The sequence below is a fragment of the Homo sapiens genome, chromosome 2, assembly GCF_000001405.40.
Source record: "Homo sapiens chromosome 2, GRCh38.p14 Primary Assembly".
Taxonomy (NCBI): domain Eukaryota; kingdom Metazoa; phylum Chordata; class Mammalia; order Primates; family Hominidae; genus Homo; species Homo sapiens.
The window spans coordinates 43,932,884-43,959,794 of record NC_000002.12 but is presented as its reverse complement, the minus strand read 5'-3'; the positions used below and the strand labels follow the sequence as shown (position 1 = coordinate 43,959,794).

General features: G+C 35.1%; 1 protein-coding gene across 5 annotated transcripts in view, besides 2 other annotated features; it reads left to right on the top strand.

The window, feature by feature from the left end:
• LRPPRC (leucine rich pentatricopeptide repeat containing) overlaps positions 1 to 26,911 on the top strand; it is a 110,042-nt gene that overhangs the window by 36,471 nt on the left and 46,660 nt on the right. For all 5 annotated transcript variants that reach the window (XR_007068563.1, XM_047442809.1, NM_133259.4 and 2 more), the window contains exons 14-25: positions 2,344 to 2,410; positions 9,195 to 9,222; positions 10,136 to 10,193; positions 11,277 to 11,383; positions 11,596 to 11,673; positions 12,020 to 12,064; positions 12,425 to 12,538; positions 13,552 to 13,682; positions 14,378 to 14,463; positions 15,901 to 16,108; positions 24,917 to 25,041; positions 25,499 to 25,605. Coding sequence is in view for 4 of the 5 variants with exons in the window: in XM_047442809.1 (XP_047298765.1) it covers positions 2,344 to 2,410; positions 9,195 to 9,222; positions 10,136 to 10,193; positions 11,277 to 11,383; positions 11,596 to 11,673; positions 12,020 to 12,064; positions 12,425 to 12,538; positions 13,552 to 13,682; positions 14,378 to 14,463; positions 15,901 to 16,108; positions 24,917 to 25,041; positions 25,499 to 25,605 (1,154 nt within the window). In the remaining variant the exon portion in view is untranslated. The remainder of the gene's footprint in view (positions 1 to 2,343; positions 2,411 to 9,194; positions 9,223 to 10,135; positions 10,194 to 11,276; positions 11,384 to 11,595; positions 11,674 to 12,019; positions 12,065 to 12,424; positions 12,539 to 13,551; positions 13,683 to 14,377; positions 14,464 to 15,900; positions 16,109 to 24,916; positions 25,042 to 25,498; positions 25,606 to 26,911) is intronic.
• Positions 2,338 to 2,538: a silencer, noted in NCBI's record as "peak3685 fragment used in MPRA reporter construct". NCBI's record gives its function as "represses an SCP1 promoter by STARR-seq MPRAs in K562 erythroleukemia cells {active_cell/tissue: K562}" and the evidence as "EXISTENCE:reporter gene assay evidence [ECO:0000049][PMID:32103011]".
• Positions 14,300 to 14,865: an enhancer, noted in NCBI's record as "NANOG hESC enhancer chr2:44172069-44172634 (GRCh37/hg19 assembly coordinates)". NCBI's record gives its function as "activates a minimal SCP1, AML or CMV promoter by ChIP-STARR-seq in naive H9 embryonic stem cells {active_cell/tissue: H9 hESC(naive)}" and the evidence as "EXISTENCE:reporter gene assay evidence [ECO:0000049][PMID:30033119]".

The following is a 26,911-nucleotide window of genomic DNA, read 5'->3' as shown; positions in this document are numbered from 1 at the left end:
CTCCTGCCTCAGCCTCCCGAGTAGCTGGGATTATAGGCACATGCCACTATGCCCAGCTAATTTTTTGTATTTTTAGTAGAGACAGAGTTTCACCACTCCTGACCACAAGTGATCCGCCTGCCTCAGCCTCCCAAAGTGCTGGGATTACAGGTGTGAGCCACTGCGCCTGGCCTGTATTTTATTTTTAATTAATAAATAAGACGTTCTTAAGAGACCTTATTTTTTAACACGTCCATGGTGTTGCTTGACAGTTTTTCAGATCTTCTGAAAAATATGTCATTTACAAACAAAACACAGACATAATTAATTTTTAGCTCCCTAAAATGTTAACAGTTAAGCTCTCATTAATGTTATATTCAAACTGTATGGGTGGAACCTTTATACCAACCAGGTTATTGGTATGTATTACTTGTGCATGTCGCTTAAAATATTTGTTGTAATATTGTAAGGGAAAGGCAAAGTGTCCAGTATGAAAAATGGTGACTGTTGTAGTTATTTGAGTCAAATATTGAGTATTATTGCTGGCTGCTATCTGAGTGTATTGATTTTGCCTTCCACTCTGTATACTATATAGATTTTCCAATCTGACAAGAAGAAAACAGAGAAGCATTAGCAGAGGAATCTGGGCTCACGAGGTGGATCCATGAGAGCTGCCTTTTCCTTTTATCATATCATCCATTCCACTTCGTTGTCAACCTCTTGATTTTTCAGGCTTGTTTGTTGCTAAGGAAACTAGATGCTTTTTGTCAGCAGCCTTCATAGCTGAGATGTTTCTGGTCATCTTTTTAATGAATAAAAACTTGACAATATTCTGTAGAATACTATTTTGAATAGTATAAAAATGAATTTTCAAGAGGTTGTTTATTAGATTTAAAAAAGAAAAATGCCAAGAAGTTTGCCAAGTATTTGAGCTTTTCCTGTCAGTGCCTTCCCCTCCAGCTTTGATTTACAAGTCTTTGAAGAGCGGTTCGTTCTATGATTGCTGGTACGTGCTTCAGGCAGCTCTTAGGAATGCACTACTGGTTACTACATCACAGGAAATGTCAGGTAGTAGAGAACAGTAAATGGATTATCTTGATTAAGTTTTGGAGTAGTAGAGAACATTTTCCCACTTGTGTTTGTAGGCATGGAAAACTAATTTGATCACATGAAATTAAAAGCTGCTGAGAGGCATGTGGTGGTGTTCCCTTTAAAATTCCTTGAGTGACTCAGTGCAGGTCATTTTAAAAGTGACTTTTAGATTTTCAAACACTATAAAAGCACTGAGAAACTTAGGCTCCTTGTTCAAGGAATATAGCAGCTGATCTAAAACAATTCTCCTTATGTGTGTGGGTTAATTTGTTATTTTTGGGGAGATGAACACTTAAAATGGGCCATGACTTTTCCCATGGGATTTTTCTTTAATGAAACCAGGTACCTTAACCTTCACTTAAACTGTATTTATTGTCTTCAGAATTTGCTTCTACTATGAATTCCTCTCTAATCCCATCCTTTTTGTATTATTCAGTAGCCACATTACATTTATAGTGAAAAGATTAACTCTATTACTTATAACATGGTCCCATTTTAGTACAATTACAGGGAAAAACAAATTCAGGGAATGCCTACTGTGATCTCATCCCTTGCTAGTTTGGCAAGGGTTATGTGAAGAGTCAGTGTAAGGTGTGATTCTTACACAATGGCAAATCAGGCTTATAATGTCAGCATTGAAACATACAAGGTTGTAGACTGTTAAATGTCAAAATGAGTAGTAGAGCAAACAAATACTCAGAAAAGTGAAAGATCAATATAAGTCAATTACATAACGGACGTATGACCTATTTTATTATTACTTTAGGTGGTTACTCTTGTGTGAGTGCAGGTCATTGATCATAGTGGAAAATGAAATGAGAAAGTATGAATGGTTCAACAGAACCCAACACCTCTCCGAGAAAAGAATTTTTCCTCTCATGTGCTGTCTTTAAAGAACAAAAGTCTTGTAGGGTATTACAGTCTCTCTCTTCATGGTGCCACCATGTCCAACAACATACAGCCTCAGTGTGTGTACCAGGCTGACTCTGATTCTGCTGGTATGTTAGTAATTGCCATTTATAGGAAAGGATATTTATAAATTAATTAGTTGTATATATTCATGAAAATTAAAAATACGTTAAAAGGGTAGCTTATATTGCAGATATATATTACTGCATTGTCTAATTTTGTATGAAAACATTTTTATTTTTTAAATACAATTTCCAAAATGAAAACTAAAAGGTATTGGTATAAATATGTTTTCAATTTGATAATACAGGGTTTTTAAATTTGTTTGGTCTGAGATTTAATGATGGTCATTTTCTTTTGCAGTGAAATCAAATACATTGCCCATCTCGCTGCAGTCTATAAGAAGTAGCCTACTGCTAGGCTTCAGGAGGTAAGATGATCAACTTAAATGTTCCTTGCCTGAACATGGACTGATTTCTCCTGTCCTTTTGACTTATTGCATGAGGAAAAATACAAATATTCTTATCTTTCAGTGTACATTCAGTTTACCTGAAATAACCTTTGCTTGTTTAATTTTTTCTTTTAAGTCATTGAATTAAATTTAGGCAGCTTTGTGTCATCTTTTCTGAGAAATGCACACAGGTTTGGTAAAGATCCTGTTTCCAGGAAGAAAGTCCTGTTTCAAAATGGCAAGTTGGAGTTACAGACCAATTTGCATATGTATGTTCAGCTTATTCTTTGAGCATTTAATTGCAAGGTGACTTTTATTCAGTAAAGTATCATTCTCCCCTTCTGTGTGCTCAGAGAATGTTAATGACCTTGCCCTTCCAATTTTGTTATTTTGAAAATAGATAAACATAAAAGCTGAAAGAATAGTAAAAGGGAATACTCCCATACCACCCTTTTTTATTTGATTTATTTTTTTGAGACGGAGTCTTGCTCTGTCGCCCAGGCTGCAATGCAGTGGTGTGATCCTGGCTCACTGCGACGTCCGCCTCCTGGGTTCAGGTGATTTTCCTGCCTCAGCCTGCTGAGTAGCTGGGACTACCGGTGCCCACCACCACGCCTGGCTAAGTTTTGTATTTTTAGTAGAGATGGGGTTTCACCATGTTGGCCAGGTTGGTCTCGAACTCCTGACCTCAGGTGATTCACCTGCCTCGGCCTCCCAAAGTGCTGGGTTTACAGGCATGAGCCACTGTGCCCATCCTCTGTAATACCCTTTGTGTAGATTTGCCAGTTGTTAATATTTTGCCGTGTCTACTTTCTCTCATACCCTCTTTCTCTACACAAGAAAGTACCTACACACACACACACACACACACACACACACACACACGTTTTTTTCTTTTTGGCTGAACCACTTGAAGTTGTATGCATAATGACACTGGATCTTTCAGCATATTTCTCTTAAGAATAAAGTCATCATCTCTAAAATCACAACATCAGTATCACTCTGAAAAAATTAACAATACTGTACCACCATCTGATATATGTAGTCCATGTTCAGATTTTCCCACTTTAACAAGTTTCCTTTATAGATGTTTCACTTTTTGACTGAGGAGTCAATTAAATTGATGCATTGGATTTGATTGCTACATCTCTTTATTATCTTAATGCAGAACAATTTCCTTAGCTTTTTTGTTTGTTTTTTAATAACACTGGTTTTTGTTTTGTTTTGTTTTTTAAGAGCCCAGGCTGGAATGTCTCTTCTACATTTTGTATTTTTCTGTTTTTTTTTTTTTCCCATGATGAGACTCAGATTAAGCATTTTTAGCAATAGTACTTCATGGGTGATGGGCACGTCTTACATTGTATCACATCAACAGATATAAAGGCAGGTGTGCAATAATGATGCCACCACCAAAGTTTGATCACTTGGTTAAGATGGTGATTCGCACATCTCTCTTGCAGAGGCCCCTTGTCCACTTTGTAATTACTAAGAAGACTATGGGGTGGTAATTTGAGACTGTGTCTACCCTGTTTTTCCATTACTTTTCCCTCCTTGGTTTTAGCAGCCATTGGTAATCCTTGTTGAATCAGTTATTGGTAGTTCACACAAGAATGAGTTTCTTTTTTTGAGATAGGGTCTCGCTCTGTCCCCAAGGCCAGAGTGCAGTGGGTTAATCAGCCTACTGCAGCCTTTACCTCCCGGGCTCAAGCGATCCTCCCATCGTAGCCTCCCGAGCAGCTGGGACTATGGGCGCATGCCACCATGGCTGGCTGATTTTTAAAATTTTTTTGTAGAGACGGGATCTCACTATGTTGCCCAGGTTATTCTGTTGAGAGAAGCAGTGTAGCACAGTGATTCATAATTTTCTTTTCTTTTTTTTTTTTTTTTTTCTTTTTGAGACAGAGTCTTGCTCTGTCACCCAGGCTGCAGTGCAGTGGTACGAACATGGCTCATTGCAGCCTCCAAATTCTGAGCTCAAGTAATCCTCCTGCTTCAGGCTCCCATTTAGCCAAGACTACAGGTGTGCACTACCACGCCCAGCTAATTTTAAAATTTTTTTGTGGAGATGGAGTCTCACCGTGTTGCCCAGGCTGGTCTTGAACTCCTGGCCTCAGGTGATCCTGCCACCTCTGCCTCCCAAGGTGCTGGTATTGCAGGTGTGAGCCTCTGCACCTGCTGCCCTAACCTTTTTTGATTCATTGATCTCTTTGAGAATTTGTTGGAAGCTATGGCTCATCTTTCCCTGCAAAAGATGCATATTATAAAATTATGACTATAATTTAATGGAGTTCATGAAGTACTTTCCCTCTCCCTATAAAAACCCGTATCGTGGAAGCCAAAATTAAGAGCCTGGAGTGTATCCTTCCATGCTTTTCTCTGTATAGAAGCAGAGACCTGTAAGAGGTGTTTGAAGTTTTGCTTTGTTTTGTTTAAACAAAAGTAATATATCATACTTTACATACTACTCATCTTTCTTTTTCACTTAACAACACTACATGAACATCTCTTGGTCTACTGATATAAATCTAAGCATTTATATCTGGAGGGGATTCCATGGTAGGGCTATACCATAAATTTTCAATCACTCCTTTATTAATGGACTCAGATTCCTTCTAATTTTTGCCACTACCAAAACAAAGTGGTACATTACATATTATGTCCATATGTATATGTGTTTGTGCACATGCATGCACATGTGTGTACATATATATTATATATACATTAGTTTATCCCCCCTCAGTGGCTAGAATGTAAAAAAGAGACGTCTGTTTTCAAGAGTGTATGTATTCTTTAATAGCTACTACCATACTACTTTTCCAGAAAAAGTTGTATTAGCTCATACTTAGATTAGCAATTCACACTTCTACCAGCAATGTATGAGAGTACCCACTTCCTGCAAACTTACAAGTATTAGACATTACAATGCTTTTTAATTTTGGCCAAGCTGATGGATGACAAATGACATCTTAATGTATAATTTTCAATTTGCATCTTCCTAACTATTAAGCAGGGTTAGAGCATACTTATTGGCCATTTGGATTTCTTCTATGAAATAACCTATTTAAATTCTTTGCCAGTTTTCTACTAGGTCATACAATTTTTGTTGTCAATTTGTAAGGTATTGCATTTGAGGGATATTTATCTATACACTGTCACATGTGAAATATGTTTTTTTTTAAACCTTGTTGCAGAGATGAGAGAGAAATGTAAGGATAAGATCTTGGATAGTTACTGGAAGGAGTCAAAGGAGTTTGTAGTCAGTGTCGCAAGTTACAGAGATGTAGGGGAGATAGCCCTATAAAAAGAGGGTGTTCAGTTTGGTATTTGGAAAAGTTACTGAGTTTTTTTCTTTTCAAAATGGAGATGAGGTCTCGCTGTATTGCCCAGGGTGGTGTTAAATTCCTGGGCTCAAGTGAACCCCCAGCCTTGGCCTCCCAAAGTGCTGGGATTACAGGCATGAACCACCGGCCTGGCCATTATTGAGTATCTTTAAGAGAAGAGTTTTGATACTATTGTAGTGGAAGAAGCCCAGCTAGAAGCTCTGAGAATCTTGGTGTCTTTGTTTTGTTTTTAGTGATTGGATTATGTATACTATAACTGAATTTATGTGTGCTTTCAGATTATTTATATTTTTATTTGAATAGATAACATTGAAAATATTCGAAAATGGATTACCTTATCTTTAAACCACACCAAGCTAGGTGCTCTGCGTCTCCCCTGACTTAAATCCTTTTTTGGTGCTTTCCCTGTTTGTTAGCATCTAAAATTTTTAATTGATTCCTGGGTTTAAAACTAGCCACAGATTGGTCATTTTTTTAACTTTCCACTTTAAAGTTAGATAAAATGTTTAAATATGTTTAACAAAGGGGACACTACCCAGGAGCCTCCAGTGTTTGCACAGTTGCAAATCTGTCTTTATTCTTGACATAGTAAAAATAAGTTTAAGCGGATTCCTTCCAGGAACATATTTCAACATGTAAGTCCTAAAACTGTATACCATTGGTTAATTTTTCTTATTGTAGATAAAGAAAAATCGTAGGTTGTGGTAACTTGGCATTTTTCATAAGAATATGTGCCTAATTCAGAGCACTTGTGTAACTACAGGTGATTTCTTTCTTCTACTCCAAAAACTAGTCTTCGTAACTATGAATGTTTATAGAAGGTACTCAGTCTTCTGCCAAGGTTGGGGAAGGGATGAATCAGGGCAGGGGCTGCAGAGAAATTGCTGAGAGGCATATTGAGTTTGTAGAGGGGAAGGGAAGGGTTTTTCAGGCCGAGGCATTGAGGCTGAGAGAACAGTGGTTCTGGGGAAGTGTAAGTAGATTGGTAGTAGCTTAAGAAACTATGAAATAATTACAAGAAATAAAGCCAAAATGGTAGCCCAGGGGTCTTTATGAGTAGTCTCATTCTAAGTTAGGATATTTGGACCTTGAGTCACATGGCTTCGAGCCATTGAAAGGTTTACATGATGAAGTTAAGATTGACAGATATTCAAAGGGGAGAGTACAGGTAAAGGCAGATAGGGGGACAGGAAACATTAGGAGATCATTCACAATTTATGGGATTCTTTTAGGGGACTGTGGAATTTCCAGTTGAAGGTATTTTACATCGCCTTACCAAATTTGTTTCCTCTTCTGGGAAACAAAGAACTTAAATACGTACATGCAGGATTGTCTTTAAGATAAAAAATATAATGCACTTAGAACCTAGTACAAAGTCTGGGTCACTTTTAAGGGGCATGTAGGGAAGGACAGTTCCTGAAAGAGGTTGAGTAGCATCTAGCAGATAATGGCTAACAACAACAGAAATTCCAAAACTTAGTGAAAGAGGACCAAAAAAATGTTAGTTGAATTTTGAATTAAAAATCACTGGTAATTTTAGCATAAGTAGTTTCAGTGGAGTTTGGGGCCAGAAGTCAGATTGCACTGGTTTGGGCACTGGTAACTGTTCCTTACAACAGCTTGGTTTTGAAGGATACCGTTTATTTTTGTTTTGGTTTCAAACCTGTGGCATTCACCATGAAGCTTCACATTCAAGGTAGTGCTTTTAGTCATTTTCAGTTGTTTTAGGTATATGTGAAATTTTGAAAGTTTATCTCCATGCCTTCCTTAGGTACTTCATGCCACGTTTGAGGGCAGCTTAATATCCAGTTGTTTTTTTTTTTTCTTTTGAGACGGAATTTCGCTCTTGTTGCCCAGGCTGGAGTGCAGTGGCGCGATCTTGGCTCACCGCAACCTCCGCCTCCCGGGTTCAAGCGATTCTCCTGCCTCAGCCTCCTGAGTAGCTGGGATTACTGGCATGCGCCACCACGCCTGGCTAATTTTGTATTTTTAGTAGAGATGGGGTTTCTCCATGTTAGTCAGGCTGGTCTTGAACTCCCGACCTCAGGTGATCTACCCACCTCAGCCTCCCAAAGCGCTGTGATTACAGGCGTGAGCCACCACACCCAGCCTTAACTATTTTTTATTTGACAGTAAGTTGATACTTTGATAAAAATATATGGTTAAAGTAAATTTTAAAAATAAATAAATAAAGGAAGCCCAGCTTACTAATGTTGAGAGTTAAAATAGAAGTACAAAATTTAGACTGGACATGGTATGTGTTTATTTTTTTATTTTGGAATTTTTAAACCTTCACGAAAGTAGAGCTGCCATGTACCCATCCCCCAGCTTTAACAGCCAAGATTTTGGCAGTCCTGTTTTACCATTCCCCTTCTCTTTCTTTGCTGGACTATTAAAAATAACTATGGATCTTTGTCATCTACCCATAAATACTTCAGTATATATCTCAGAACTTACTTTAAATAAAACAACATAACCACCGTAATATCATACCTGACAAAATTAATCCTAGTTGATAATCAGAATTCATCAAATGCCCAGATGGGTCCGGGATACAGCAAAGGAACCATGGCAAGTTTTACCACTTAATATTATGCACTTTGGCACATTAGCCCCTCACTTTCTTGCAAACTCTGATTGTTCTCTACTTTCCTTGTCCTGTTTTTCAAATGTGGTAGGCTACTGGCAAGTTAAGATTCCTTGGAATTAAAGCTCTTTGTAGCCTAACCAAAAAAAGATACCTAATTTTTATCTTATTTTACTGTATTTTATTCTTCACTGTTACAGCTTCAAGTTATCCCCTGCTGGAAGACCACATGAGTGATACTCTGTCTTCTCAGGGAATTATATTTAAAGGCACATTAGTTTTGATCACCCGGTCCAGGTGTTGGGATTTCTCCATTATGTAGTAACTGTTTTTCCCATTACAAGTAACAAGCAATCTGTGGGCAGTCACTTTGAGACTCACTGTGTCTCCCAGGCTGGAGTGCAGTGGCACGATCTCGGCTCACTGCAACCTCCGCTTCCCGGGTTCAGGCAATTCTCCTGCCTCAGCCTCCCGAGTAGCCTGGATTACAGGCATACACCAACACTCCCGGCTAATTTTTCTACTTCTAGTGGAGACGGGATTTCACCATGTTGGCCAGGCTGGTCTCAAACTCCTGACCTCAGGTGATCCACCTGCCTTGGCCTCCCAAAGTGCTGGGATTGCAGATGTGAGCCACCAGGCCTGGCCTATTTTGAATATTTGAGGTGGGTGAGTGTCAGCCTTTCTAAATTACCTTTGTCCTGAAAATTCATCCTGATACAGCAAACATTTATTTACTTATTAATTTTAATACTTTGATCTGTACATATTACAAGTATGCATATACTTGAAAATAAACCTGGGTTTATTTTCGATCCTTTGCTGCCCTCTGCAGGTCTATGAATATAAATCTTTGGAGCGAGGTAAGTCCCTCTAATATTGCAAATCATAAGGTGCTTTTAACGTTACAAGCCAATACCATAGGTTATGTAATAATTTTTATCATGAAACCTATATTTGGTTTTCTACTAAAATTTTGCTGGCAGAGTTAATGTTGAAAAATAATAGTTATGTGTGTCTTTTAGTGTTTGTGAATCCAATTGATAAGAATCCAATGGGAGGAGGGAGAGGATCAGGAAGAATAGCTAATGGATGCTGGGCTTAATACCTGGGTGATGGGATGATCTGTGCAGCCGACCACCATGGCACACGTTTACCGATGTAACAAACCTGCACATCCTGCACATGTACCCCTGAACTTAAAATAAAAGTTGGAAATTAAAAAAAAAAGAATCCATGAGAATAGACACTTTAATCTTTAGACCCCTTTTGTTTTAGTCTCATTAAGATGAATGGAAGTTGTTATTAAATATCTAAAAAATGTAAGTTATTTAGCAGTTCAGGATATTTTACTTTATATTTCAGTAAAACTTAATATAAAATGAGGAAACCAGTTCAGTGTCAACAAGACCAAAAGCAATATAATGAGGAATAATATTGGTCAATAATTCCTATAAGCTCTTTTCTATTTATAACAGTTCATTCAGAGTGATGTTTATATATCAATTTATAAATCAGTTTAGAGTCTTTCTGTGTGACATTTCACAAAACATTGCAGTTTTCCTTCAACATGGATTTGTTTTTGTTTTTAAAAGACAAACCTATTATTTAAAAACAAAACAATCTCCTTGGCGGGTGGGGGTGGTTTTGAATTACTGTGAAATAGAATAGTACCTTACTGGGGAGAGGTTTTATTATTTCAAGAATTCAATTTCAGATTGTGTTTGTTCTTGTTTGCTTCTCTTGCTGCAATGCACGAATTTTCTGTCTTACCAGATAACAGAATTGTTGTACAAGGATGGACGTTATTGCCAGGAGCCTCGAGGACCGACGGGTAGCGTTTCAATTTCGATGATTGTAACTTATCCACAAATCCATTTTTCTGTGTAATGATGGGTTAGGAGGATTACAGCAGTAAATACTTTATTTTTTAAAGTGGAATTTGAAAACATTTGGTTATAAATCTTTATATTGATTACAACATTTTGAGATCTAAAGTGTTTGATTTTGTTACAATTATTTTTTCTAAAGACAGGGTTGGGAGGCTTTTTCTTTTCAGATATTGGGGAAATGTTTCTTCTAACATCTATGGAAATAGGCTTAAAAATCAGTGATTCTTAGTATTTATGTGCTTTTAATGTTTTGCAGGTGTAGTTAATTTTAAACATAAAATGTAGCGAAGGTTCTTGTGGATTTCCGCTTAAATGTAATTTATTGCCCCAAATACATTGTTTTGACATTTAATGATTTTCATTTTTCATATAATGAAGCTAGACTATATAGTTTTCTGTAAGATGGTACCCCTCTTGAAAGTTTACATTTCTATCCTAGGTATTACTGTAACATGGCCCTATACATTTTATGCTTGAATGCAAAGGAAAATTACTGTTGTTACAAAACATCTTTGTTAATCTTGGTTTTTCATTGGCTAATAGGCAGCTCTCCACAGGATTACTGTATCTGCTTATTAAAATTGTTTAACTTTCTTTACTCAACATTTAACAATCCTTTCTAATTTTATGTGCTTCCCTAAATATTGTCCACAAAAAAAAAACAGTATAGAAATGTGTACAAGACATTTATTTATTCTTATTACGTGTGATTTGGACAGGAAAGGGGTAAGGCCTTGGGCAGGACCACTTCTGTCACAGAGTGGTGGAAAAAAAATAGATTGAAGTAAGATTCAGTACTGAAAAGCTGTCACTCGGTCTGAAAATAATTAATATTCCTTTCACTCACCAGTTAGATATGTGCTCCCAAACCACATAATCTCTATGCCTCAGTGATCATTGTTGCCATTTCAGAGCCTCTCATCAGGGTGACATCTCACACCAAAATGATTTCTTATAAATTAATCTTGATAACATGACAGTCTCGGTAATTTTAGTGGAATGCTTTCTCTTGTTTTTTTCCACAGAAGCTGTTGGCTATTTTCTTTATAACTTGATTGACAGCATGAGTGACTCAGAGGTACAGGCCAAGGAGGAGCATTTGAGACAATACTTCCATCAGCTGGAGAAGATGGTACCATTTCGTTTTTTGCTATATAATGCCTGTCCTGCCTGACATGTATCTATTAGATTTGAAATTGCTGCTTTTAAGTACAACCAGACCACTTCTCAATGACATGCAAGAGTTGGAGACTTAAATTATGTCTGAGATAATTTCTGTTAGACAAATTTCAGTTTGGTTGTCTAAAACTCAGGTTTTTTCCCCCCTCCCTTCCCTTCTCACAGAATGTAAAAATTCCTGAAAATATCTACAGAGGCATTCGTAATCTCCTGGAAAGCTACCATGTTCCTGAATTGATTAAGGTGTGTGTGAAATAGCAATCAACTGGATAAAATGCTTAACTTACATATAACAGCATGTTAAAATTTTATTTAAATATGATGCTTTTGGTCAGAAAAAAAATTTGTTTCAATGACAGCCATTAAAACGAAGCTTTTCATTGATTGTTCATAAATACTATTTATATATTCATAAATATATTTATAACGTTAATTACATTGATTAATAAAGTATGAAGAGAATGTCTAAAATTTTGGAAAGATGAAAAGTAGTAATATGAGGTGAGACTTACAAATTTGCTTTTGATGTTTGCTGATGTATTTTTACGTGTGTTTTCTAATTCTGGGCTAATTTAAATTTCAATTTTAGGATGCTCACTTGTTGGTTGAGAGTAAGAATTTAGACTTTCAAAAAGTAAGTAGGATTTTGACTAGATTCTACATGCTATAATACCCATATTTAATGAGTATTCTGGATTGTGTACTTATAAAACCAGTGATTCCTCACATTTTTATCATCTTGTATACCTCTAAGAAGTTGGTAAAACCTGTTCCCCACCTCAGAAAAATCAACATATCTAAGAAATTTGCATATAATCTCAGAAGGTTTGTAAATCCCTGGAGTCCATCCATGGATTCCCCAATTAATATCCCTGATAGCATTTATGACATTTAGGAAGGTAGAAAGGAAAGTCAGTTTAAAGGGAAGAGTGACAAAAGGCATACTATATTTCCTTTTTCAGGAAATTTTTCTTTTCTTTTTTCTTTTCTGTAGACTGTGCAACTTACATCATCTGAATTGGAGTCCACACTTGAAACACTAAAAGCTGAAAATCAACCTATAAGAGATGTCCTAAAGCAACTCATATTAGTGCTTTGTTCAGAAGAGGTAACATTTGTTTTAATATTTAAATATTATTAAGGCAAAAAATTCTTGGTAACAATAAGAAAAACCAAATATAATATTTATGATTTTTACAATTGATCGTTATATGTCAGGCTTGTAAAGAATGCAATTAAATGAAAGGTTAACTAATTTCAGCTACACCTTGAATGGCATGTTTTCTGGTTGCTGTAGTTTGTTTACGATAATCTGCAAAGTGAATGATAGTAACAGCTGTGATAGGTTTATCATACATGCCAAATGTCCTTTCAAGCCATGGCTCCGGTCTCTTATATCTAGATTGTCAAGCAACTGATACACGCAGTAGTCATTTGCAAGTCAAATATTACTAGGTTGTTAATGCAGGGATTGAAATTCCATTTTCCTGCTGGAAAAAAGCTCTTTCTGAGATAAAGGGTCCCTTGCCTTTTTTCAGCGGGCATCCAGCTGTACTTTGTGTTCATTTTAGTGTATGTCTGCAATTTGTGGGATATCACTAGACTATTTTTCACTTTCTAGTTCAATATAATTGAGCCATAAACTTGTAGTTTTAGGGAAAAAATATCATGACTAACTTTATGATTATAATCTGCTACTGTTAAATTCTAAAATATTTCTTCATATTACTTGGATACTAAACTAGACTGAGAAACTTTTCAATGATACATATTTCTGCATCCTGAAATTAGACTGTGATTAGGATTTGATTTGGGAATTACTTAATCTGGAAGTCTTTTTTAAATAATACCATACACAAAGCCTAAAACATCAAATTTGGCATAAATAATGGCCTATTTTATATTACAGATAACACATCTTTTAACCCCTACACGTGTAAGACTTGCCCACTTCTTAGAGGTGAATAAAAATATCAAGGGGCAGAGTCAGGTTGTTAACATGAAACCATTTATTTTTAAAGTACTATTAACTTTTTCTAAACTCTGAACAGTAAAGCTAAAAATGTGACATTTTTACCTTCACACTGATTTCTTCTTTTTCACATCTATGCTGTATTTTAGAATATGCAAAAAGCCCTTGAATTGAAAGCAAAATATGAATCCGACATGGTTACTGGTGGCTATGCAGCTTTAATAAATTTATGCTGTCGACATGATAAAGTAGAAGATGCCTTGAACTTGAAAGAAGAATTGTGAGTACCCTGGCACTGAAACAAGTTGTCAACATTTATTCTGCTCTACAGACCTTGATAGATTATCTAGATGGAATATTACTCTCTTATATAATGTCATTTTTAAAAATTCTTTTGTTGTCAGTGTTTTTGAAATTTCGTATTATACGGCTCTTTAATTAATTGTGGCTTATGTTCAGCAAGGTGTCTTTGTTTAAGTATGATAAGACATTCTAGTCCTTAGAACCAAAGGTTTTTTTCCATTGATTATATATCATCACAACAGTGGTGATGGTGGTAACTGTTTTAAGAGGCTTGATAACATTTCCCTTTCAATATTGTAGTGTAAATAAAATTCTATCCATTTCTCAGGTACCTTTGGCTTCCTATCCTGTTAGATTTTTCAAGTAAAAATGTCAAGTATTCGTGATGAAGGTTAGAATCACTTAAAGCCAAAGAGTTTCTTCATAAGTATCCTTTGCAGATGGAGTGATGCAATATATATGTAGTGTTGGGCTTTTACTTCACTAGTCACTTTGAATATAATTTCGTGTGAACTTGTATATGGCTTCAAAAAGAAATCCTAACTGAAGCGTAGAGGCCAACATTAGTTCAGGTCTTCTGATGAGCTTTTGAAAAGTGATTAAATGGATGTTGCTGTTCTTTTAGCAGTTAATTGACTTTTAAAACAATATAAATGTGGCTTTAATTTTTAGTGACCGCTTAGATTCATCTGCTGTCCTTGACACCGGCAAGTATGTAGGCCTTGTAAGAGTATTGGCAAAGCATGGCAAGCTCCAAGGTAAGCCTCAGCACATAAAGGAAATATGTGATGCAAGTATCTTGCCACTGGAATAACATGTGAATTGATATTAATGGATATCATGTCCTGCAAAGTGCTTGAACACTTTGCATAGAAATTTGCATGTGAATCCAACCAGAGCTACATGGACAGTGTAGGCCATTAGTTTTAATGGATTGGCAAGCTTGTCATTTACATTTGCACAGCTCAGTGCTTTTTGCATTTCTGCAGCTAGTTTTTATTAGCATTGCTGTTTGGATTGAGTTTGAAGATCATGACTTATGGCACAATTTGCTTATGTGCCTGCACTAATGGCTTTGTTTTTGCTTAAGAAGGTCTGAAGGCTGAACGTAAAACCTATAAACGTAAAACCTATAAACATAACCTAATATATGCGCCTGAATTTTGCAGTAGTCTTTGCCTTACTTTTTAATAACATTAACAAAATATATACTTTAAAGTTTTTATTTTAATTAAGGTTTTTATTTAATGGTTCATGGAAAAAGCATAGCTGATTACACAGCTGATTTGCATACTCAAATTTTCTCGTTGAGATAATGCTAAGCCTAATAAAATTAATTACACTTGATAATACATTCATACTATTTTCTTGTTTCTTAACTTTCTGATTTGGCTTTATTTTGAAATTTCCTTTTTAGCCTTCCTCTTTTCCTTTGATTTTCAGAAAAGATTGTTTTAATTTTATTATAGGGAAAAATGTATGGAGAAAATCATTTATTAGAACATTGAATGTTTTCCTAGGACGCCTTTCTAACTCTTTCTAAGGATTAGCCTATTTTTTTAAAATCACTTTTTGTAAAGTGGTCAAAACATTTTGTCTGTGTAATAATTAAGAACAACATTATAAAAATGCACTTATTCCATATCCTAAAATGTTTGTTTCTGCCTTCCTAATGAAGCTTAATGAATCTAATGTATTAACATGCAGTCTTTTGGAAAGCTTTCATTGGCTCTGCTTGGCTAATTAGTATCGACATAGCAAACAGGCCCTATCGGTATCAGACCATTAGTCTGGCTGTATATACAGTGTAAACACATCTTTATTATCTGGCCTCCTGACAAGCCATCTGCTGAAGAAACAATGGTGTGATTTAGCAGATGTTAGCTCTGAACGATAAAAGCATCCATTTAGGAGGATCTTACAGCTATAGGGCAGACCATACAGGGTTATGTGGTACAGAGTGGGCACATAGTCCCTATCTATAATTTGTAGTCAAAGTTGCAGGGAAATGATAAAACCATGCTATTGTGGATTTATAATTGTAGTCTCGTTTAGAAATGCAAGTAGTAATTAACTTGAAATCGGCATTATACACTAGAATTTACATTCCTGCTGGGCTTGAAATGCTGTTTTAATAGCAGTTTGTTTTCCCTACATGAAATTACCTAAGGGTCTTTTGTGTTACTTCATTGTAGATGCTATTAACATTCTGAAGGAGATGAAAGAGAAGGATGTTCTTATCAAAGATACAACAGCCTTGTCCTTTTTCCACATGCTAAATGGCGCAGCTTTAAGAGGTGAAATTGAAACAGTAAAACAGTTGCATGAAGCCATCGTGACTCTAGGGTTAGCAGAACCATCCACCAACATAAGTTTCCCATTGGTCACTGTACACTTGGAAAAGTAAGTTAATTGAATTTTGAATTTTAAATGTTGGCATTAAAAGAATGAGTCTAATAATTTTCGGATTATACTTTATAAATACCCTCATGATGGGGAAGCCTTGGAGGTCATTTACCACAGAGTAAGAGGGCTAATATGAACTAGGTGACCTTTAAAATCACTAGCAGCCCTGTGGTCCTGTGGCTTTACATATCAATGGAATAGTCCCTGGTGCTTTTTTTGTAGGAGCATGTGATCACTTGAATTTGAATCTAGTTTTTCCTAGTTTTGAGCCTGATAAGTGTTATTAATAAATATAAGAAAAAAGGATCTTCTGGGGCTTTTGAGTATGTGTCTTGACAGTTATTCAGGTAATAAGTGTTGAAGCATCTTCAGTGCTCCTTTTCTTCACAGGGTATTTTAAATACATATACCATTACAGTTATTCTAGCTTTGATAAATGTTGTAGGAGATGAATTTTACTGATAGGGCAAGATTTACTGAGTTTGTTAATTTTTCCATTTGAAATGCTCTTGTTGGTGCTCAATTTAAGGCATTATTTGCAATGTAAATCATAAAGTCAGTCTATTTTATAATGAATAAAACATTTTAGTAAGATGACTAAGCGTAATTTATCATCTTTTTCTTTTGTACTTGTTTTTGTTTTCTGTTTTGCTTTTTAAATTTCCTAGATCTTCTTTGTCAGCTTTTTCATAGCTTAACATAGTTTGTAATCTGCATTACATGGAGACTGCACTGGCAAATTAGTTTAAACAACCCTAGGCAAACAAAAATAGAAGATAATAATTAAAATAAAATAAAATGGAAGATATACGTATCTGAAAGTAGTAAAACACCGAAAATGAAAAGATACTAATTTAGATTTCTTTAGTTCAATTAACAGGGAGAGCTGAATTTGACTGAAACGCAGAAATATCTCACTGTGGATGTAGTGTGGATGTTGTCCTGTTGATGCCAGGAGAAAAATAAAATATGTATTTTAACGGTTCTCATGTTTTCCCCAAATTTCTGGTAGTTTTTCTTTATTTATTAGAGAGTTTAATTAATTGAATATAATAAATGATTTAGTGTTGAATTTTAAATGTATAATAAAAACCATCTCTTTTAACTAACTTAAAAAAATGTGTGAATACATGCATGCACACATGAAATAATTCCTTTGCCATCCAATCAAAAACAATTACCGGGTTAGATGACTGGTCAAATCTTAACCTCTACAGTCTCAGCATTACATCCTTTTAAAGAAATAGTGATTCAAATAATGACTGTGTTATTGAGTTATCATATTCATAGCCAACTTTATATAGAAATCCTATAATTAATATGCTTCCTATTAGAATTTTTTTCAATTGCTTAAAAGACCCATTTCTGCAAATTGCATGTGCAACTCTACAGAAGGATTTGAAAGAAATGGGCCCAGTGCCCAGAAAAATTAGGCCCTCCTACACTACCGGGCAAAAATAAAATAATTAACAATGAAAATGAGGCCATCGTAGAAAAGTATCTTACAAATAGAAATACTTTGAAGACAGAGGAGACCTGAAAGCTTTCCGAAAGAGGTCTGCAGATGGGGCTCATGAACCAAGGAGAGCTTACCCATGGGAAAATGGAAACGGTGTGGAATTCAAATGTTAACCTAGAGCATCCTCTGTGCTTCTGATTATATCCTGAAGTCAGATATTTCTGTGTCTCAGTCAAATTTGGCTCTCCCTGCTAATTGAGCTAAGGAAATCTAAATTAGTGTCTTTTCATTATTGGTGTTTTACTACTTTCAGATATGTATATCTTCTATTTTTATTTTATTTTAATTCTGTTTTTATTTGCCTAGTTTTTTTTTTTTTTTTTTTTTAGACTACTTTGCTAATGCAGTCTCCATGATGAGGTCTTTCAGTTTCATCTATCATAATAAAAAGGGCTATTGACTCTTTCAGAGTCATGAGACTAATAAAAAGATAAAGGAAATTTTATATTTATGAAATTACAGAAAACAGCAGAAACATTCGTAGTCAGGGGAAATGCCTGGAGTAAAACCCTGACTTTGAAACTCTTTCTCAATTGTGTTTTCTCCAACTGATGGAAGATAGCTAATTAATTCAGAATCATGACAAGTGCTAGGATTAACCACACTAGCCTGCCAAAAAGTCCACGTGTATTCGATTTGATTAAATGTGTATAATCTTCAGTAATATCATGTAATTGACCTCAGCAGGTATGAGCTCATCTGGCAAATGAGCTTTATTTATTCAAACTTGTGATAAAAGTATAAAAAACATTTTGAAACATCATCATAAATCTTCACCCTTTCATTCAAAGGCAGGCATCTTTTTGGCATGTCACTGTAAAAGGCTCTAAAGAGAATATCACTTTCGTGTTGTAATTCTGAAGCAGTTCCATGAGACTGAGTTCCTTAGAAAGATAATCTCTTTAAGTTTCAGTGGATCTTAATTCTGAACCGACTTTTCCAGCATTGGACAAAACACAGGAGAAATTAATACTGTGTCAGTTTGTGTTATTTAGACAATGTAAAAAAGCTTTATGGGTATAGAAAAAATACACTGTTTTTATTCATTTGCCAAGGGAAATCCAAAACAATAACAGATTTAGAAAATTATAAAGAAGTTGGTAAGCTAACCTGCTTTTGTATTATCAAAATGAAAATACTTGCATTGAATGGAAAAAAATTTGCAGTTGAACAAAATTTTTATGTTTCATTTACATTACATTACAGTCTCTAAGCCACGTATTTTACATGTAGTCCAAATGAGTATTATTTCAAACATTTTCTTTTGTAAGTATTTTATCTTATTAAAATCATGCCTGATTCATGGAGATGACAGCAATCCGTCACATTAAGGAAGAAAGAAATGCTTTAAAATAGGTTAAAAGAGTTTTTTATTAGTCTTCATGTTATGGTCAAGGAAATGAAATTAATAAAGTCTGGGCCATCAGATATTAAAGCATAAAAATTTGTATGATGCAGTTTCAGGTTCACTTGTTTTATACCTGATCCATTTTGGTTTCATTGCATGCATTAAAAAATAACTGAAGCTGTTTAACTGGATTATGTTGGTGCAAGTGATCAAAGCAGCTTTAATTTCTGCTTTCCATTAAGGATTTTTTTTGTGCTGGTTTGTGTTATAATCTGTATATGTACATATGCATTTCATTTAAGTGTGTCATGAACTTCATATATACTATCCTCCCAGAATTCTTGCTGAATTAATCTTGAGTTCATAAAGGTCACAATTTCTCTAAGATGAACTTGTAACAATGTTTTTGGAACTCACTGTAACACTTTAATATGTTACATAAATGGGAAATAGGCTTTTTAAAATGTTGATGATTCTGTTACACATGCTCCCCTTCAATTTTAGCATCTTCATTTGTACTGGATACTTTCATTATTTATGGGAATGCTTGCCTTCTAGAGTAAAACTCCTTATGTGCTGAAAGGAAATTAAGGAGGTTTGGCTCTTTTACTCCATTATTGCAATTAAGAATTTAGCATCATCAGTGCCAAAGGACAAAAAGTGGTTCATTTGCCCTAGGGGGACAGGACAGTGATAAGATGATTTTTCGTCAAGGATCATTGGGTCGTAATTAAGTTACATTCATGGCTATTGCTTTTTGAAGGATGATTGGTAAATGACAGGCTTCATGTGCTTAGTACGGACAGTGTGCAGTAGGGTTTTTTCTGCCTCTGTCAGAAAATCCTGTTGAGCCTGATAATGTAAATGTGGCATTTTATTCTGAACAAAAGAGCAGGGAAATGAGCTATCTTGTCTAATCATTCAGTTGTTTAACACCGACTTCCAGTTTAGACTCAATTGGCTGGAAAGCACTTGACATGTGAAGTTAGTGCTGTTCCGAACGCATGTTTGAGTAAATTTTAAAGTAAGTGACAGCTAAATTGTACCTAGGGAAATTACAAAGCCTTCAACACAGTTAATTTTTTGGGGAGGATTAGTTGTAATTGCAACACCAGTCTCCTTGAAGATTCCTCATTTATAGATGATGAACAGAAAAAAAACATTTAGCTCTTTCAAGTGCTGGTTCTCTTAACAGAATAATTTTTGTGAAGATGATGGTTTCTCTTGAATTGGTTTCTTCCCATATTGAACATCTGCTGAGGATTTGTAAGATAGTTTGTTTTTAAGGAGTTCAGTTTGGTTTTTGTTTGTTTGTTTTTTCTTTTTTAAACTTTTTTCTCCCCCCACAGCCCTTCTTTTCTGTAGTGATTGCAGATTTGAGCGCATTTCAGTAAGGAAGCCTGTTACATAAATTGCCACTTCACTAACAATGTATAAGTTTAAAGTACTTTATTCCAAATAAAAAAAATCAATATTTGTCATCTTTCGTTTTTTGTTGTTGTTGTTGTTTTTATTTTTATTTTTATTTTTATTTTTTTGAGACGGAGTCTTGCTGTCTCCCAGGCTGGAGTGCAGTGGCACGATCTTGGCTCACTGCAAGCTCCGCCTCCTGGGTTGATGCCATTCTCCTGCCTCAGCCTCCCGAGTAGCTGGGACTACAGGTGCTCACCGCCACGCCAGCTATTTTTTTTTTTTTTTTTGTATTTTTAGTGGAGACGGGGTTTCACCATGTTAGCCAGGATGGTCTCGATCTCCTGACCGCGTGATCCACCCACCTCAGCCTCCCAAAGTGCTGGGATTACAGGCGTGAGCCACCGCGCCCGGCCATCTTTCTTTTGTTGTTTAAGTATACTCTCTGGGATTAGAAAGTTACTTAGTATAAATTACGAGACTTAAGTTTAAAGCTACTAATAGATAAATAGATAGTTGTCACTCGTGGTTGTTTTAACAATTCCAGATTGTATGAAATACATTTATGATTTTTACAGGTATATGTATTGAGGAATGTATATGAGTTTTAGGAGTACATGTTTCTTGGTATCTCAAAGTAGATAGTTTTATGATTGGTGGATGTCCCATAGAAATGTCTGTCCAGCAAACTTACATGCTACATGGTGTTTGTTTTTCTGTCAGTGACGTTATAGCATACTTCAGTTTCAGAATGAGGACTCAAATGAGTGGTACTATCAGATTTGCCATCGGAGCTTCAAGCTTATTTATCGGGATGTTCTTCCGTGTAATAATGAAAAAATTGTAGTTTGTAGTAGCTCTTTGTAGTCATGTTCCCTTAAGAAGTGAATTCTAGATTCTAGAATGAATTTTGATGCAGGCCAAGTGAGTCTATTCAAGTTAATGAATTTAACTCTATTTTAAGTTTCCAAATTTCTTGCTGGACCCAGCCTATCTCATATATATGTTCTTAAAATTTAAAATTACAGAATCTTTTCCTCAATTTTACCTTTATTTCATAGACTTACAGAATTTTGGTAAAGCTTATATTTTTAATTTGCACCAAACAAAATACTGCTTTTTAAAATGATTGCTTACTTTTTATTAGTGTACGTAGTTTTATGCATGAAAATTATGTAGTCTATTGAAATTTTGAGGGGGGTGTCTTGATTTTTTTTTTTATAAAGGGTAATAGTATGCTACAGAGTTGATTTTCTTTTAGTGTCATTTGTGAAAGCATTGACTAAATTTTTATTAGGAGTGAGCCTTTAAATATTTGTATGTGAAGCTTTAGGAATTATGCATATATGCTGATACAAGCATGGGCTCAAAGTTTTGAATGCAAAATTAATGTGTCAACATTAATTTCTTCAGAGGATTATTGTTATTTCTTAGCAGGATTTAAATCATTTCTAGTGCTCAAAGAAATTCACAGATCACTTTGGGTCACAGAAGCTAGAAGTAGACTGATTGGTAATGTGTTGTCCCACATTTTGGTTGTAAAGCAATTTTTACCTTTCTCCTTTTGATATTGTGCTTCCCTTACTGATTTCATCCTGCCTAATAAAAGTGGTATTTTCACCTGATGATTTTCTCTGCTTGTGCAAAACACTTTAGATGAACCTAATAAGCACAGAGTCATAGAACCTGTTAGAACTAGGAGGGAACCCAAATGTCCTTGAGTTCAGCTGTTGTGATAATTTGCTTTTCATCACCACTTCTAGAAATGTATCACGTTGCTACAGCTGAGTAGCATAAGTACTCTTATCAGTTGGGATGGAAATCCAAAGTCCTATGACTACATAGCTATCTTCATAGCAATGCAAATTTTAGGTGCTTTTAAACATATTTTTCATTTCCGTCATCACCTAAGTTTTCAAGCTTTATTATGAAAGATTAATAGTGACATAAATTATGTGGGGAATGTAAATTTTTGTCTTTTAAAATGACATGATCCAACCACAAGTCCGAATTAGATAATAGGGACTGAAGAACTGACTAGTCATTTACTTTGTTTTTATCTCCAGTACACTTTGTATGAGGTATTTCATTATAAATTTCTAATTCATTTTGTTGGCATCCTAAGAGCAGTAACATTGGTTCTTAAAATTACTGACAAATATATGAATTATTTCCATTTTGCCATTCTTGTTTTTTCTGTTGTTGTTCTGAACATGTATAATCTTCAGAAGCATATATTTGGAGACCAAAGACTATTAACGTGTCGCTTTGATTGACAGAACAATTATTCATTCATTTATTGATAGCTTTGACCTAATGTAGGGGGAAATACAATTGAGACAATACTATTCTAGTTTGGGAATTGATCTGGAAAAGCAAATCATGCCACTTAAAAAAAAATCGTATGTGTGTTAGCTTTGCTCTTAAAAAATGTTTTAGTAGTTTTTCGTTAAGCAGAGTTATAGAAAGGCAATAACCGAACCTGTGTCTGAAGTAAGGGAAAATACTGATTATATAAAGCTTTATATCATATGTGGTAGCTACTGTACCATTTCTCTTCTATGACAGTAATCCAGCCTGCAACATCTACTTGCAGTTTGAAATTAACCTGTAATTTAGTCTTCACCCCAAATGACAAAAATTCAAATGACTCTGTGGGGTGCCAGAAGATGCACTGTAAACAGGGCTTAGTAAGGGGATAAGGTAAGAGTTCCATCAGGATAGGCTCGTTTTCACTGTGTCACTATTATTGCAATAAAACTAACATTTCTTCGTTGTCTTTTACTTTTTTAGTACAGCTTAAAATCAGATCTTGATAAAATAGTAATTCAACTTAGGGCAATGTAACATTTGTATAATAGGCAAAAATGTGAAGGCTTTAACAGGAAGTATAAAAGGACTTTCTGGTTTTGAAAACTGTTATGTGTATGAGAAATTTATATTCTCTACAAAGATTTTCACTAATTGTCACTAGTTGTACTTGGAGCCATGTCTCTAACCATGCCTCTTTTTAAAATACCTTTCATACTCTCTTTTCATAAATCGTTAATTTCTTATTCCAAATTGCACCACTTTATTACATTATTCAAATACCAGTGCTTTTAATAAAGCATAATGTGTAATTAGATGTACTGAACTGACAATGGGAAGTCCAGCGACTTGCTTACCTAGTACCTTCCTCTGTTTACCTGGTAGCCTTAGTCAAATCAGCCAGTCTCTAGATGCCCCAGTTTCATTATTTCTTTGAAAGTAAAAGGGGGTGGCAAGTAGAATTGGATCATATAATCTCTATAGTTCTTCCAAGGGATTTCTTTTTTTTTTTTGAAACAGAGTTTCACTTTTGTTGCCCAGGCTGGAGTGCAATGGCACGATCTCAGCTCACTGCAACCTCCACCTCCCGGGTTCAAGGGATTCTCCCTCCTCAGCCCCCCGAGTAGCTGGGATTACAGGCATGCGCCATCACGCCCGGCTAATTTTATATTTTTAATAGAGATGGGGTTTCTCCACCTCAGGTGATCCGCCCTCCTTGGCCTCCCAAAGTGCTGGGATTACAGGCATGAGCCACCGCACCTGGTCTTGCAAGGTCTTAAATATTTCTCATACTAACATTGTCCTTTTATTTTATTTTTTTTATATTACCTGTGAATTTTATTTCAGTATGGTAAGAGAGAAATTACAAAAAAACTTTTAATAAAGACAGGGTTAAAGTAAATTGAAAGCAAATTGTCCTTTTATGGGGGGAAAATACTTCTTAAGGACCCACAAGAATATAGTACCACACTGTTGTTTAAGAAACTGATTTAATGACAGTGTCTTTTTATTTTAATTTCTCACATAAAAGAAGGCTTGACTTTGTAATTGGAAATAATTTTTAAAAGCTTACCCTTTAATGAAAAAAGTATTTAGAATTCTTCTAGAATTCACTGACCAACACGAATATCCTAGTTTTCATAATAGTAAGTTCCCATATATATGAAACTTGAGGTTATTTCCTACTTGGCTAGTAAGGTGACAGTACAGAAAATATTATGATAAAGATGAAAAAGTTCTTGAAAATTCCTTATTAGCTATTGGTGGACATTTAATAACGTTTACCAAATCTGAAATTATTGAGATACAATTGTTAAAGGCACGTAAGTGATTGGAAAAAAGTATTTGACGGTAGTCCTTGCTTTCAGAAGTAATACATTCTTACAGCAACTTTCTACATAAAGTCAGAATTTACAGTAAAATCAGAGAATGCCTTAATCTATTTGGACTTTTTTATAAAGTACCCTTTAACACACGAAATAATAAAAGATGAAGCAGGGTAAATAGTGGATTGCTGATGATGTATGTTTTCTGAACATTTACTTATATATAAAGATTGTTTCTTTTTTTCCCCCATTTTAGCTTTGTGGTTTTCTACCTTAAGTAAAGCTCAGTTGTTTACATATTAACTGGTCATTAAACATCTCTCTAAAGTATTACTAAGAGACTAAGCTGAATTCGATTTATTTTATTCATTGCTAATTTTTTTGTTTCTAAGGGGCGACCTATCTACTGCTCTTGAGGTCGCCATTGACTGCTATGAAAAGTATAAAGTATTACCAAGGATTCATGATGTCTTGTGTAAACTGGTAGAGAAAGGCGAGACTGATCTAATTCAGAAAGGTGAGTCACTTTCTAGTATCTTAATGTAGTTTTTTTTTCCCTTCTTGCTGATTTAATCTTAGTGTATTGTTAAGAGAAACCAGCAGAAGGCCAGCACATTCAGATAAACTTTCTTTATACTTGTGAAATCTAAAAGAAAAATATCAGGTAGATTTCCAATATTATACATGTTCTTGATTTTAGTAACTGTTCATTTTGAAAAAATGTCTGTTATTTTTGTGTTCTAATTCTTGGTGATCTGCCTTTATGAAGATTTTTTTTACCCTTATCCTCACTAGTTCTCTTTGTAGCTACTCTGTTAGGTACTTAATTAGTCGATATAGCTATATTCTTTAAGTTATTCTTAATATTTGTTTTTAAAATAAATTTTTCTTGTATTTGTCTGGAACTTCATATGATACTGTTTTTCTGGGTTTTTTTTTCTCCTAATATATATATTTTTTTCTCTCCTACCTAGCAATGGACTTTGTGAGCCAAGAACAAGGTGAAATGGTGATGCTCTATGATCTCTTCTTTGCCTTCCTACAAACAGGAAATTACAAAGAGGCCAAGAAGATCATTGAGGTGTGATTTTAACTACAGTGTTCTAATTGTAGAGCTATTTAGACTCTTAATTAGAATACATTTAAAAATTTTAACCTTTAATTACACTTGTTCTGATTCATGTTAATAGAATTCAATCCCAGTAATGTTGGGGGAGGGGGATCTCGGCCAGCTTCTTTATTGTATATAATTACAGTTCAGAAAAGGCAGTCTGGTTGTATATTAAATTTGTTTCCTCACTTTGTTAAATTCACTATTATATATCAAAATGATATTTGCATATTAAATCTTGGATTGTGGAACAATTAAATTAAACTGGCATTCCTGGGTGTAAAGTTGCTAATCCTCTTTGCCAAAGAATTCTTTGTTCTTAAAAGCAGTGGAATTTAATTTGCTGCAGACCATGCTCAAGATTTATTTGTAATGCTTGTCTACAAGTTAATCAGCCAAACAAGTGCTGTCTGCAACTGTTTGGCATTTAATTTAAATTTTCTTCTTCTTTTTTTTTCCACTATGCTAAGCAGCTTATGGGAAATGGTAGGTGACAAACCTGGCCTATTTAGGATTAGTATATTTTATCTAGGCTTTACTAAATTTTGCTTAGTGGAATTGATAAGTCAAGGGCCAACTATAAAGTCTGTCCAAATTGTGATTAATTTCACTATTAAACAATTCTGTGTCCACTAAGAAAACAAAACATTCCGCAGAAGATGGACCCATTGCCTTAAGAAAAATTATTTCATGTGATTAAAACTGTTAACTTATAAATACATCAGTAATCATGGGTTTTCTCAGATTATACTTCGCTTTTGGTCAATGTCGTTTTCCAAAAATATACAGGGGACAGGATGCAAAAGTGGTGTTTGACCTCTTTATTTGTGTATTGATGACTGCTTATCATGAAACTGAAAATATAGGCACACAACCCAGAAAACTGTATTTTTTTCCTCCTGATGTTTTTTGAAGAAGAGAACGGTGTAGTATAGAAAAGGAGGACTGTGAAATCAATTCAGAACTTTCTTCTCTTTCCATTTTATGACTCAATCTGCCCACTTGTCAGCAGACAGTGGGGCATGCTATCGTGCTATCTTGGACAGGTGCTTCTGTAGCTTAAGTGGTTCATTTACATTTTCTAGAAAATGGTATAATTTTTCTTCCACATTCGCTTCTGAAAGTACAGTGAATCCAAATGTGAGAAGAGCTGTCTGGCTATTGAGTTCTGCTCCTCTGTAGGTACAGTGTCAGTATTAGCAGGTCACTGATCAGAGCGGAAATGAAGCTCAGCTCTGAGAGGTTCTGCAGGAGGAATGCATGTGCCTGTCTTTGT